We start from the raw sequence: 14,905 nt of genomic DNA, 5'->3' as shown, positions 1-14,905 counted from the left end.
GGGAAAGGTACTCAAGATGGTAGAGGTTATAGCCTAATGGGGAATATAGACATTAATCAAAGAATCACACTAGGCCAAGTGCAGTGGCTCATGCCTGTAATCCCAGCACCTTGGAAGGCCCACGTGGGCAGATCACCTGAGGTCAGGAGTTCGAGATCAGCCTGGCCAGCAGGCTGGTGAAACCTCATCTCTACTAAAAATACAAAAATTAGCTGGGCATGGTGGCACACGGCTGTAGTCTCAGCAACTGGGGAGGCTGAGGCATGAGAATCACTTGAACCTGGGAGGCGGAGGTTGCAGTGGGCCAAGATCGCACCACTGCACTCCAGCCTAGGCAACAGAGTGACACCCTGTCTCAAAAAAACAGAATCACACTAATAAAAATGTAAATATGAACTCAGATATTTGCTCTGAAGGAAAGGAATGTAGTTCTCCAGGTACCTAGAATAAAGTATCCTGTTGCATCCTGGTAGACTTCCATGAGAAGAGACGCAAGAGCTTCTGAAGGGGCCTGGGGAAGGGATCTGTTAGTGTTAGGTAGACAAAGGTAGGGAGCGTGATGGAGAACATTCCAGGGACAGGAAGAATATCAAGTCGTCTTTGGTGAGGAGGAACATAAACAATTCAAAGACCTGAAAGACCAGTTGGCTGGAGGAGAGAGAGTGAGAGAAAGGTAGTGTGAAATGAGGCTGAAAGGTAGGCAGGAGTCAGCCCATACTAGGCCTTGCAGGACTTTGGTCTTTATCCTAAGAGCCATGAGAACCACTGGAAAGGGTATTAACTGGGGTGGGTGATTTGCATTTGTACAAGGTCATCTTGAGGACTTCAGGCATCTGAGTTCACTGAAGGAAATGCTGAGGTTAGTCTTACCTCTGAAGAAGCCTGTATGGGCATAATAAAAATGATGGGTACCTGGGAATGCTCAGGTTTTATAACCAGTATCCCTGGGGGCTTGGATCAGGTGGGCCCAGGAACTAGCCCAGACATTTATACCCATTCGGAACAGATCCTCATCTTGCTTCAGTATGGTTACTAGTATATTAGATGTTTCTTTATCTTCTAGGTTTCTGAGGATACTATATTCCCCTACTAAGTAGCTCAGAAAAAATAGATACTGACTGCTAACATAATGATAATGCCTGTGCTTAGTGTTTTCAGTGATTTGTCTGGGCATAATTTTATCAAATCAGATAAATGCTGCTCCTTTTTGATCTATTAATAATTTTAATGGTTTCCCTCTGAATAGCAAATAGTTATTGAATACCTACTCTGTTCTTTGCCAGGTGCTGGAAATTTAAATATGAACAAAATGTGTCCCTACCGTCTAGGAGCTGCCCTGTCAGTATAGTGAGGGAAGAAAGACAGATTAAGCCAAGATGAGAAAACAGGAAAGATCCAAGAACAGGAACCAGGTCAAAGCAAAAGTGGCCTTTCAAAGGCAAATGAAAAAATGCCCGCAAGGAAGAAATGCCCAGTCGAGTGCAGTGGCTCACACCTGTAATCCCAGCACTTTGGGAGGCTAAGGCGGGTGGATCACCTGAGGTCAGGAGTTCGAGACCAGTCTGGCCAACATAGCAAAACCCCATCTGTACTAAAAATACAAAAATTAGCTGGGTGCAGTGGCGCGTGCCTGTATTCCAAGCTCTTCAGGAGGCTGAGGCAGGAGAATCACTTGAAAACACAGGCAGAGGTTGCAATGAGCCGAGATCATGCCACTGCACTCCAGCCTGGGCAACAGAGCAAGACTCTGCCTAAAAAAAAAAAAAAAAAGGAATGAAAGAAATGCCCTCAGACCAGTTAGAATTATGAACTAGAGCCCCAGGGACCCAAGAGTTCTATAGATAATATGTAGTTCAGCATTGTTGAGTGGAAATCAGGACAGACCTAGGCTATCTGACTGACCAAGCCTGTATTTCTAATGATAAGTCTGTTCTCTGGAATCTATTGAAACAGAATGGACAGCTTCCTTCTGTCTATCCAGGTAGACAGGAAACAAGACAGCATAAAGGAGTACCACCTCATTAGAGGTCTTCAGGAAAGCTCTGGTAAAAAGAAAAAAAAAATACCCAATACAAATTGCTCAAAGAAATGATACATTTGAATTTCTGACATTTCAGCTGGGTTCTTTAACCTGTGCTTCCTCTGTCCTACTTCCCATCCTGCACAGTTCATAGAGTCACTTTCTGACTATCCTATAGACACAGTAATTGGACCTGTGTTTTTTCTAATCTTTATATGACAGCACATTTCCTAATTCAGGGACCATCCCCTATCCCAAATTCCATCCTGTGAGATGTGAAACCTGTGAGTTCATGTGAATGAGTGTTTGAAGGGCTTGACGCCATGTAGTCTCTTACGAAGGCTTCAGGGTGCTCTTATGTTGTTGCTTTGCCATTATCAAATGGCATTGATTGATCCGAGGGACTCAGAAAGTTAGGGTAGACTCTATAAATAATTTCATTATTCCTCATCCTCTCCGTCATCATTTTATTGGTTAGTCATTCTGCCAGATCACTAAGATTCTTCCTCTACAGGCCCCGCAAAATTCCACAGAGCCCTGATTCTCCACCTGCAGATGGAGTCTCCCTATCCCATTGCTCAGCTTTTCAAGATTTATTATGATGCTGGCAAGTGAGGAATTTCTTAAGCGAGAAATCAGAGTTCATGCCTGTTTACCTCCTAAGAGCCCGGTGTAAAAGACCATCTACCCTTGTCTGAGATGGCGTGTCCTTTAGTGAGAAATAAGTATGTTTTTTAAGTTTGTTTCAGAAAAAAAAAAAACCCAACCCTGAGTTACACCCGTTTCTTCTCTGCCCAAGACTTTGTAGAATTTAAATGTTATGAAGGAGTGAATTAATAAACAGAATTAAGGCGGTACAGTGGCTCATGCCTATAATCCCAACAGTGTGGGAGACCAAGGAGGGAGGATCACTTGACACCAAGAGTTTGAGACACCAGCCTGGGCAACATAGCAAGGCCCCCATCTCTGCAAAAAAAAAAAAAATAAATAAATAAGAAAATTAACCAGGTGTAGTGGCGCATGCCCATAGCCCTAGCTACTTGAGAGGCTGAGGCAGGAGGATCACTTGAACCCAGGAGTTCAAGGTTGTAGTGAGCCATGATCACCCCACTGCACTCTAGCCTGGGCAACAGAGTGAGACCCTGTCTCTCAAAAACTAAATAAATAAATAACAATAAACACAATTACTTGTATAATAATAAATAAATAAATAAAAATAAACAATTAAACTTGTATAATAAAACAAAGAACTTTTGCAGGTAATCTAGTTCATTCCCCAGTCATTGGAGAAGGTAATACACAAACTGTCCCTGACTGTTTACGTTAGAATTGCAGACATTGTTGCCTAGAAGGAACCATAGAGCAGTGGTCACAAATTTAATCTCACATTAAAAATGCGGATTTCTGGCCCTATTCAAGACCGCCTGAACGAGAATCTTTGGGGGTGGGCCTTGAGAATCTGAAAACTTTAAAGCCTCCTGGTGGTGCTTATGTGCTGTTGGTGTTGGTGTGAGAACTACTGTTTTGGAGGTGGTCTGGCTTTGTCCCTGAATTTCTGCAAAGTATCAGTGCCTGAGGAGATGACATCAGGGTCAATGTTAATTTATAGTGTAGCTTCTTATTTAAAATTTAAATTGGGTTTCCTCAAGCTCTCTTCATAAGCTGCCTAGTCTGGATTTTTCTCTTAAGTAAATAAATATTTTCTGTTGCTTCAACAGATGTTCAAGCAAATGCTTTCAGAAAAGCAAACCAAATGGGAGCATTACAAGAAAGAGGGTTCGGAGCGGATGACTGAGCTTGCTGATGTCTTTTCAGGAGTGAAACCCCTAACCAGAGTGGAGAAAAATGGTAATTACTGAAGAGGAAATACTGGTGTGTTTGGAATGTGTGCACAGGTTATTTGAAACCTTGGAAACTGGCAGGTTAAAAAGACTTTATGTTCTCATTATTGTATCCTATGATATTCCATCTTTAGTGTTGCTAATAAAGATCTGAAGGTTAGTTTTGGCTGCGTCTAGCTCTCTGCTCTCTTGGGCAATGTTCATATTCATTTTAGAGTTCAGGTTTTATATCTTATCTTTGAAATGTGAGGTTATGCTAAACCAGGGGTTTTGGTAACTCCAGTTCATAGACAAGAGTTTAGAGAGTCACAGTTGGCCTCCATCTCCATGGTATGCAAAACTAATGTGTCAGTTTAGTGATTTGGGGAAAGGGGGGAAAGGATCTATAATTCTCATGATCTTCTCAAGAAGAATACGTCACCCAAGAATGTCATAATCTACCAGCATAGATGATATCTAAAATTCTTCTGATTTTGCTTGATTCTTGTTCACGAATGCACCTGCTATCTAGTAGCAGAAGAGGGTACTGCAGACTAGTTTTGAAAAAACACAAACTAAAATTTTACTTTAATGATTTTGATCCTACTTCTTCTAGGAAATTTTATTTATAGGAAAGTTCTGGCATCATTTCAAATTTTTTATAAATAAGAAATTTCTAACTGCTCCCAAAAAACCATTCTGAATTTTATGGTGACAAACTATTTTTTTAACGCTTAATTTTGTTTTAACTATCAGATCTATTTCTGATGAAGTTAATTATACTGTAGAATTGCTTAGTAGTGTAGCTTCTTGTTTAAAAACTATTATTTTTAATCAGTATGAGCTTGTGATTACTGTATTTTAGCTTTTGTTTATTTCTTTGATGCTGAGTGGTTGGTCAAAAATATATTTCCAAATTGTATTATTGTTCCTATAGGGAAAAGCCAGCCAACGTATAACGATGTGATATAAACTAGAAACATGTTTTGCAGGTCACCATATTGTGATATGAAACCTGAAGTCTAGAATGAATATTATGGTTATCATATTGTGACCTGCAAAACAATCACGTGTAACAATCTGACCCGGTTAGCTGCCTAGAATTAGTGCATTAATCTCTGTGATAGTGTCTTTTAGGCCCTTACAAATACCAACTTTGTTTCAGAGATGAAATAACAATTTTACATTTTTTTCCAGCTGTATAGTTTAATTACAGCTTAGGACATACTTTCACAGTTTTTTCTCATCCTTACAACCCTGTAAGATACACATCTTAATCCTTATTTTATATATAAGGAAACTGAGGCTTAAAAATGTAATCATTTGCTGAAGGTACAAAGGTGGAGAGCCTGGGTCTCACTCATCTCAGACCCCAAATTTCATGCTCTTTCTACTACTCCATCGCTGCCCCTCAGCCCTACAAAAATCTTCAAAAATGAGTGTTTGTCATGCCAATTCTTGAAATAACTTAGATCGTAAGTCTTTAAGGCCTTTTAATAACGTGGGACCACCCCATTGATAAACAAACAAAAAAAAAACTTTAGGGGATCAACTTGGTGAGGTAAAGAGCACAGAGTTTTTGAACCTGGACAGATAATTGTAAATCCTGGCTCTGCCATTTAGTCACCGTGTCACCCTGTATAGCATTCTCAGTCTCTCTGAGCATCAGCCTCTTTATCTGGGAAATGGCTAACAATTTCCACCTCCCTGTATTGCTATGAAGATCAAATACTTAGAACTTTGCCTGACACACTGAGGGTAATCAGAGCATGTGGACACCCTTCTCTTTCTCTACTGTATGAAATGTCTGCCGGTTCCTAAGTGCAAATGGCACCCCCTGCATTGTTCAGACATCCCTGTGACTCACCAGTCACACCTTACACTTCTGTCATATTGGTCTCTTCTTTGCCCTCCAAGATATGCTCTTGTCATTCTTGCCCTGAAGCCTCTGCCTGTGTCTGCCTTTCATCTGGATACAATTCCCTTCTTCATCTCTCCGATGATCTGATCTTTACTTTTCCTCGCTTCTCCAGAAAATTCTCCCTGGTAACTAGGGTCATCCTTCAGTTCCTTTCCAACTCTTCTCCACTGCCACCACCACCTCTACACTTTATAGCATGCACTTGAGCCTTTAGTATTTGTCTGCCAAGTGCTGTAGACTAAGCTATTTATGTAGAAAGTTTATTCTACTATGTCGCATGCTCCAGGCATTTTTGTCGTTTGGAAAATTCCTAGTGTTAGGCCCACGGTTAAAGCTCTGAAGAACTGAATTTATAAAAGATTATTTAGTTAAATTCAAAGCCACAGCTACAGGAATTCGAGGATTTCAGTATTTTCTTATTTCTGTATTACTAGAAAACCTTCAAGCTTGGTTCAGAGAGATCTCAAAACAAATATTGTCTTTAAATTATGATGATTCTACTGCTGCGGGCAGAAAAACTGTACAACTGATACAAGCTTTGGAAGAGGTAAGGAAACGCTTTTTAAATGCAGGTTCTTGGATCATGAATCACACCTTATGACCCACCCAGCAGTCTGTTCCTGTAAATATAGCTGAGAGACTATTTCATCAGAAGTAAAAGCGATGTGAATTAATATGTTTCCTGTAACGTATACTGTCCTAAATTTGGGGAAATAAATAACTAGTATGAAGAGAATGGTAGCAAAAATTACGATATTGTAACTTGAGGAAACATGTAATCTTAGAAACATAATTATAAAAATAATATAGAAACATTGGGCAAATTGTGATAAGGAGGTAAAAGCAAAAACAAAATTGCATGTGTATACCATTTTTAGGGTTGTAAAAAAGTGTGTGCCTTGGGGGAAAAAACCAGAAAGGAATACACAAAAATGAAAATAATTATATAATGGTCATATGCTTATAAGTGATATATTTTCTTTTCTGAAAAAAATAGTTTATTGTTTTTCTTTCAACTCAAAAATGATTGTACCAAAAAAATTATACCTCACCACTCTTAAATTTTAATTGTGTATTTAACTAGATTTAAAATGATAACTAAAAGCAGCAGAAAAATAATCATAAACTCTTTTTTTTTTTTTTGAGACGGAATCCAGTTCTGTCACCCAGGCTGGAGTGCAGGGGCACAATCTTGGCTCACTGCAACCTCCGCCTCCTGGGTTCCAGCGATTGTCCTGCCTCAGCCTCCTGGGTAGCTGGGACTACAGGCGCCTGCCACCATGCCCAGCTAATTTTGTATTTTTAGTAGAGACGGGGTTTCACCATGTTAGCCAGGTTGGTCTCAAACTCCTGACCTCAGGTGATCCACCTGCCTCGGGCTCTCAGAGTGCTGGGATTACAGGCATGAGCCACCGTGCCCGGCCAACTCTATTATTTAAAACATCATTTTTACTCATAATCTATAACCCTATCCAATTGGTATGATTATATATTTTTAGAGATATAATTAATACTGTTTTCACTTGGAATATTTTCTTACAGGCTTTTTCTTATTTCTGCAAGGTTTTTAGGATGGTCGCTATAAACAGCAACACAGTAAAATAATTCTACCAAAGTTTCTTATTCCAGAACAATTGCACACTTGTATTATTTCTACTTTGCTTGTTTGGATTTTTTTAGTCTATAATATGATCGTAAACAACTTTGTAAATCTCAAATGCTTTTTATCATTTGCCTTATTTATTTTGTCATATAACCCAGGCATCTTCAGTTATATACATTAAAATTTCAAGACATTGTAGAATCATTGTTTTGTTTTTAAAAGTGCATCAAAAGAACTTAATAATACACAAATTCCAACACATGGTTGTGATATACACAATAAGCAGCGGAACATTTTCTAATCCTAGAAACTTGTGCATTTTTTAATAGCTTGGCTCACGTTTCTGAAATTTATAATTTGAAATAAAAACTTTATCAAGAAATTGTCAGAAGTAGTGTGCTTTATTTGAAGTGTTTTCAAGAACAAATGAGCACCATAGAGTCCATTCAGGATTTTTAAATTAAGTATATTTCTGTAACACAGGTTCAAGAATTCCACCAGTTGGAATCCAATCTGCAAGTATGTCAGTTTCTTGCCGATACTCGAAAGTTTCTTCATCAAATGATCAGAACCATTAACATTAAAGAGGAGGTTCTGATCACAATGCAGATCGTTGGGGACCTTTCTTTCGCTTGGCAGTTGATTGACAGGTAATGTAGGCAGCCTGACATTTGCTGTAGATGAAAGGCCCTAGGAACATCTTCTTACCGTTTCTTTTCTTTTTACAGTTTCACATCCATCATGCAAGAAAGCATAAGGGTAAATCCATCCATGGTTACTAAACTCAGAGCTACCTTCCTAAAGGTAAGCAAAAAACAGTGAGATTCTCTGTTGCTAGGAAAGAGTTGGCCTTCATTCATACCTCATTCATTAATTCAGCCCAGGATTTTATCCTTTTAGGAAGGTAAATAATTTCAATATTTTTATAGACTGAAATTGTTAGCAGTTTTTCCACGAGAGCATAATTTCAAAGATTCCAGAAATATTTAAAGTTTTAATTAATGTAAGTTGGAATGTCTTCAGGAATACTATTTTTAGGTGAAGAATAGATTTTTTTTTAAGTTTTATCTGTGTACTAAAAATGTGAGTCCTTTGTGTCCTTTATTCCCTAGGCATGAATTAAGTCCTTTTACTTATTCATTCAAAAAATTACTGAGCCTCTGCTACAAACTAGTACTAATATCTACAGTAACAGGGAATATTGGTGAACAACAGGCACAGTCCTTGCTCTCATGGTAATTTCAGTTCGTGGTAAATGAACAAAGAGTCTACTCAGTGTCTTCTTCTTCTTCTTTTTTTTTTTGAGATGGAATCTCGCTTTGTTTCCCAGGCTGGAGTGCAGCTCCTCCTCCCGGGTTCAAGCGATTCTCTTGCCTCAGCCTCCCAAGTAGTTGAAATTACAGGTGTTCACCACCATGCCCAGCTAATTTTTACTATTTTTAGTAGAGATGGGGTTTCACCATGTTGACCAGGCTGGTCTTGAATTCCTAACCTCAAATGTTCCTCCTGCCTTGGCCTCCCAAAGTGCTGGGATTACAGGTGTGAGCCCCCACGCCCAGCCTACTCAATGTCTCCTGACAGAGCTACCATGTACCATGTACATCAATTCTGAGATGCACCTTTTTTTGGGACGTGGGAGTGAGGGGGATGGGGTTTTACTGTGTTGCCCAGGCTGTGTCTCAAACTCCCAGGCTCAAGCGATCCTCCTGCCTTAGCCTCCCAAGTAGCTTTAATTATAGGCATGCACCACTGCGCCTAGCTACTACAATTCTTTTCATATTTTAACATTTCTGTAACTGGGGATGGGTTTTATCATTGATGGCATATCATAGTTTAGTTGTCAGCATTTAATTTTTTTCTGAATGGCACATAAAATAATGGCACTTCTTACACTTGACGGCATATTAGATTGGACAGATTCGGTAGAATCTGTCAATCAGATTCTATCAGAACGTCAATCAGAACGTCTTGATTTCCACACAGGAGTAGCTCTTTTCTGTGGCACAGTGGCTCTCAAACTTGAGCATGCATCAGAATCACCTGCGGGGCTGGTTGTAACACAGATTGCTGGGCCGCACCCCCAGGGTGTCTGACTAAGTCAGTGTGGAGTGGAGCCCAGTAATTTGCATGTCTAATAAGTTCCCAGGTCATGCGGAAGCTACTGGTCCAGGGAGCACAGTTTAAGAACCACTGCCATCACAGTTAACTTGGGTTTTTCAAAAACTGTATTGTCAGAAACTATTAATGCCCTCTGTTGGGTAAAACCCAAATGTTTTGTTGTATGTTACATTTTCTGGAAAGAAAGATTTCTAGGACTCTTTTTGAAACAAGAAACAGATATACCTTATTTTTCTTCCAGCTTGCCTCTGCCCTCGATCTGCCCCTTCTTCGTATTAATCAGGCAAATAGCCCCGACCTGCTCAGCGTGTCACAGTACTATTCTGGAGAGTTGGTATCCTATGTGAGAAAAGTAAGAAATGCATCAGGGTGATATTTACTCTTGCCAGATAACTGCTGTTTTAAATACAAAAAGTATGCTTAGGCCCCCCAAAAGTATATCCGTGTCTCTTTCCCTTTTAAAAATTTGATTCCAGAAATTTGCAACACCTAAAAATAAACTTACCCTTATTGCTACTGTGGATGTACAGATGTTTTTACTTGCCAGGAACTTTTATTTCTGTGTTTTAAGTGTTGGTGGTATTCACATCTATTTTATAGATGTAGAAACAGAGATTATAATAGTTTCTTCAAAATCACAGAGCCATATCTGGTAAAAGAGCCTGATCTAGATCCAGCATCTCCCGGTCAGAGCCCAGTTCAGGTTTTCATGGGAATTTTGATTCTCGTTTTAATAAATTCTGATGGAGCATGGAGCCAGACCAGCCTGAATTCAAAATTTACTGGTGTCGCATTCTAGCCAGTCCTCTATAGTGATGTTACTTAACATTTTTGAACCTTGATCTTTTTAAAATCTGTAAAATGGGAATGATACAGTCTTTTGCAGCATTTTTAGAAGGATTAGCTTTATATTCTGTAAGCAATTAATGTTTAAAGGAATGGAGCCCTGTGCCTGCCAGCAGTTATTAAAACAGCTCTTTTACATTTTTCAGCATCCCCCTATATAGACAAATTAGGCATCCTAATATTTGTCAGCCAAGAAAAGTAAAACAGATGTTCATTGCGTTTCCTGCTTTCCTTTTCACTGAAGGTTTTGCAGATCATCCCAGAAAGCATGTTTACATCTCTTCTAAAGATCATAAAGCTTCAGACCCACGACATTATTGAAGTGCCTACCCGCCTGGACAAAGACAAGCTGAGGGACTATGCTCAGCTAGGCCCACGATACGAGGTGCTGTGTCCCTCTGACTTCTGCCTTTTCATATTAAAAACTAACAGTCATGAAATATCACAGGCCTGTGTCACCTGCCATATTCTGGGGACCACCAGACCAATTCTGACTTGTTGTCTCACATTTGCAATGGTAAACGCGTTTTATGATTTTAGTACAATCACACCTTTTATTCTTGACATTTTCCTGGTGTCACTTAAGGCCTTGTTCGCCTCAGTATTCTCAGGGGAAATGAGGCTTAGCTGGTCACTTTTTCCTATAACAGTCTTGCTAAAGCAGCCCTTGTTCTCTTTGAGCTAGATGACCTGACTTTTCATATTCATGTTCCTTTTTGAGCAGCTCAAAATAATCTATATTCCATTAACCATTTCTTTTGGGCAGATTTTAAGCTCACTCAATAATAGTTCAGCAGCCTCAGAGGTTCTTCTCCCCAAGCACCTCTGGTTTTTTTCTCCCTGAGCTTAGAATTTAAAGACATCAAAAGTAAAATCAAGTGAAGATTGAAAATATGATGTACAGTGTCAATTTCCCATTCTGATACAAGTCCAAGAAATATGTCAGGGACTTAGATTATCAAGCTTGATATTTCCATGTTTATTCTGATTCAACAGTATAGCTAGCACCTGCCTACCTTATCAATGTCTGCTGCTATTGCTTGCAAATAATGGGGAGGCCAGGGAAGGGGAGGTTACCTTCTCAGTCTCATAGTCTTTTCTAGCCAAAAGGGCCCATCTAGATCATTGAATTCTGCCCCAAATTTTAGACATGAGAAAATGAAGCCTAAAGGAGAAATGCTTTGTCAAACATGAAAGAATAAACTGTTGTCTTCTGACTCTGTTACCCAATATGTCTAACAGTGGGCTTTCAGTTGTACCACAGAGCCTCATTTCTGTCCAGAATATGTGGACACAGGTGTCCTAAAGCTACAAGTTCTTTTCCTGTTATCTTTGTTCATTCCAGGACTATTAGACAGTGATTTTTCATACCTCTTTTTCTTTGTTATAGGTTGCCAAGCTTACTCATGCTATTTCCATTTTTACTGAAGGCATCTTAATGATGAAAACGACTTTGGTTGGCATCATCAAGGTAACAGTTTTGTTAGTCTGCGTGGCCTCGCACCATGACTCTTAGCTGTTTGGGTTTTTGTGGTAATTATCATGTGTGCAAAAGGGAGTGACATCATCTGGCTGTTTGACATTCCAATTTCGGTCTTCATTTTACTCATTTATTTTATTTTAGTTGAGTTTTTTGAGACAGAGTCTCTCTCTCTCTGTTGCCCAGGCTGGAGTGCAGTGGTGCAATCTTGGCTCACTGCAACCTCCACCTCCCGGGTTCAAGTGATTCTCATGCCTCAGCCCCCCAAGTAGTTGGTACTACAGGCATACAACACCACACCCAGCTAATTTTTGTATTTTTAATAGAGACGAGTTTCACCATGTTGGCCAGGCTGGTCTCAAACTCCTGACCTCAAGTGATCCATCTGTCGTGGCCTTTCAAAGTGCTGGGATTATAGGCATGAGCCACGGTGCCCAGCCCGTTTTACTCACTTATTGATGGAGGAAGAGAAAGCATTGTAATCTTTATTTCTCTTAGTACTTGAAGGTAGTGGGAATTTCTTTATCTTGTAGTTCTGCAGAAAATGTGTGGTGCTAGTACTGTTTTATCAAAGAGTTGTTTAAATCCAAGAAAAATATATTTGATTGAATTTTGGGAAAAGCAAAAAAAAAAAAATTCAATTTCCTTAGTCAAAATTGCTTTATTCTTCTCTCTCTCTGTTTTCCTTCCTTCATTTTTAGTACTTTTATTTCACACCCCAGGTACAGAGAGCTAAGATAATCATATCCCTTTTTTTTTTTTGAGACAAGGGTCTTGTTCTGTCATCCAGGCTAGAGTGCAGTGGTGCAATCTCGGCTCCCTGCAGGCTCCACCTCCCGGGTTCACACCATTCTCCTGCCTCAGCCTCCCGAGTAGCTGGGACTACAGGCGCCCACCACCATGCCCGGCTAATTTCTTGTATTTTTTAGAGACAGGGTTTCACCGTGGTCTTGATCTCCTGACCTCGTGACCCGCCCGCCTCGGCCTCCCAAAGTGCTGGGATTACAGGCATGAGCCACCACGCCCGGCCCATATCCGTCTTTTAACAGACCACTATCATCACTGGGGCATGCAAGCTCCTGTCATCTTTTGTTTGTTTATTTTTTTCTTCTCCTGGATCCCTGCTTCCATTTCCATTACCCATAGCACCAACTTTGTGGATTTGGTAATTGTTCCTACATATGCAAGTATTCTTATTTTTAGCATATGGCATTATTTGATGTGTGCATGTGCTTTTGATTTATCTCAACCATATTGTGCTCTAAGTCTCATTCTTTTTCCAGCTTCTCTTACTGGTTATTGCTTTTGCAATTTATTTATATTGCTATAGGTCAGATAGTAGGTTACTTTTTACTGCTGCATAGAATTCCACATTTTTCTTAACCATCCAGCTTGGGACAGACACCTGTGCCCCCCATTATCACAACCAATGTCATGATGAACGTCTCTGAGCATATCCCCACTCCAGACCTGTGCAAGAGTTCCTCTGAAATCTACATTCTTTTCAAGTGGCCGCAGACCAATCCATAGTACGAATGCACCGTGGTGTATTTACTATTCCACCACTGATGGATGTTGAGATACAAATGTTCCTTGACTTACAGTGGTGTTACATCCCAATAAACTCATCACAAGTTGGAAATATCAGAAGGCCATTGGGACTTAACGGCTTATATCTTCACCAATACTTGATATTATCCACTTTCTAATTTTGTTCTCCCAAGAGGTATAAAGTATCTCATTGCTTTTTTAATTTGGAATGTTATGGTGAGTAGCGATGGGCCCATTCATATAGTTTATGGTGCTTTTCTTTATTTTTCTATATATCTGACATCAGTAGAATCTCAACATTCCTAATTGCCATATTAATATTTGCATTATTAAAATCAAAGAAAATAGAGGAAATGTACCTAAATGGAACTTTGGTATGTGTTTTCTGGAAGTATGCTAAAGGAAATACCATGGTATTTCCTAGAATATTAATAGAATTTGCTAAACATGCTTTAGGCCTGATCCCAGGTGAATTCAATTGATGTGTAGAGAATGTACATGCATTTTAGTCACTTCTTACACACAGGATGATAAATCCTAGGACTGCAAAGTGACCACTGTAAGAAGGATGTAATAAAACCTCTTACAGGTAATTAACAATAATTATCAAAAGAATTTTACCAAGACTGCTTGGTAAAATACTGATCTTTTCCCACAGTGTTTCAGATTATAACAGCAGAAGGAATACTCTGCTGACCAACTACATTCAACCCAGTAGACTCTCTCTGCTAGTCTACCAATAACAACTAAGGGCTTTTAAAAGTAATCCTGTGGCCCTCGCTGATCTTTAACCTCAGAGTGTTGAGGTTGTGTTTCAAACACTTATAAAAAGTGTAGGTTCAGTTTGGTTGATATTGACTTAAAACAAGTGAGATATACACAGAGATATAAGCATTCATTGTTAGAGGCAGCAAAAAAAAAAAAAAAGAAATACAGGTCGTCTCAAACTTAAAATGATTCAACTTCATATGATACCCATACTGTTTTTCACTTTCAGTATAGTATTCAATAAATTACATGAGATATTCAATACTTTATTATAAAATAGGCTTTGTGTTGGATGATATTGCCCAACTGTAGGCTAATGTAAGTGTTCTGAGCACATTTGAAGTAGGGTAAGCTAAACTATGATGTTTGGTAGATTAGGTATATTCAGTGTATTTTTGACTTCTGATATTTTCAACTTACGACGATTTTATTGGAATGTAACCCCATCTTAAGTCAAGGAGCATCTGTAATCTAAACATCCATCATCAGTAGGGGAATGGTTAAATATTCCATGGTGCATTCGTACTGTGGATTGGTCTAGAGCGATTCAAAAAGAATTTAGTACTGGAAAATCTCCAAGGTGGAAAATGAAAAAAGCAAATTGCAGAAAAACATGTATGTATGTGTGTGTGTGTGTGTGTGTGTGTGTGTGTAGTGTGTGTGATATACATGCATGCAACTATGTGTATATATGTATAATATATGTGTGTGATATACTTGCGTGTCTCTGTACATATACATGTATATGATCCCATTTAGATTTTTGAAATTAAATATA

General features: G+C 39.2%; 1 protein-coding gene across 5 annotated transcripts in view; it reads left to right on the top strand.

Moving 5' to 3' along the window:
• WASHC5 (WASH complex subunit 5) overlaps window positions 1–14,905 on the top strand; it is a 67,533-nt gene that overhangs the window by 24,403 nt on the left and 28,225 nt on the right. For all 5 annotated transcript variants that reach the window (NM_001330609.2, NM_014846.4, XM_047422502.1 and 2 more), the window contains 7 exons: window positions 3,739–3,868; window positions 6,196–6,308; window positions 7,848–8,014; window positions 8,093–8,168; window positions 9,724–9,834; window positions 10,573–10,713; window positions 11,719–11,799. In NM_001330609.2, coding sequence (NP_001317538.1) covers window positions 3,739–3,868; window positions 6,196–6,308; window positions 7,848–8,014; window positions 8,093–8,168; window positions 9,724–9,834; window positions 10,573–10,713; window positions 11,719–11,799 — 819 coding nt within the window. The remainder of the gene's footprint in view (window positions 1–3,738; window positions 3,869–6,195; window positions 6,309–7,847; window positions 8,015–8,092; window positions 8,169–9,723; window positions 9,835–10,572; window positions 10,714–11,718; window positions 11,800–14,905) is intronic.

This window comes from Homo sapiens, chromosome 8, assembly GCF_000001405.40.
Source record: "Homo sapiens chromosome 8, GRCh38.p14 Primary Assembly".
NCBI classification, from domain to species: Eukaryota; Metazoa; Chordata; class Mammalia; order Primates; family Hominidae; genus Homo; species Homo sapiens.
This window is presented reverse-complemented; position numbering and strand designations above follow the sequence as displayed.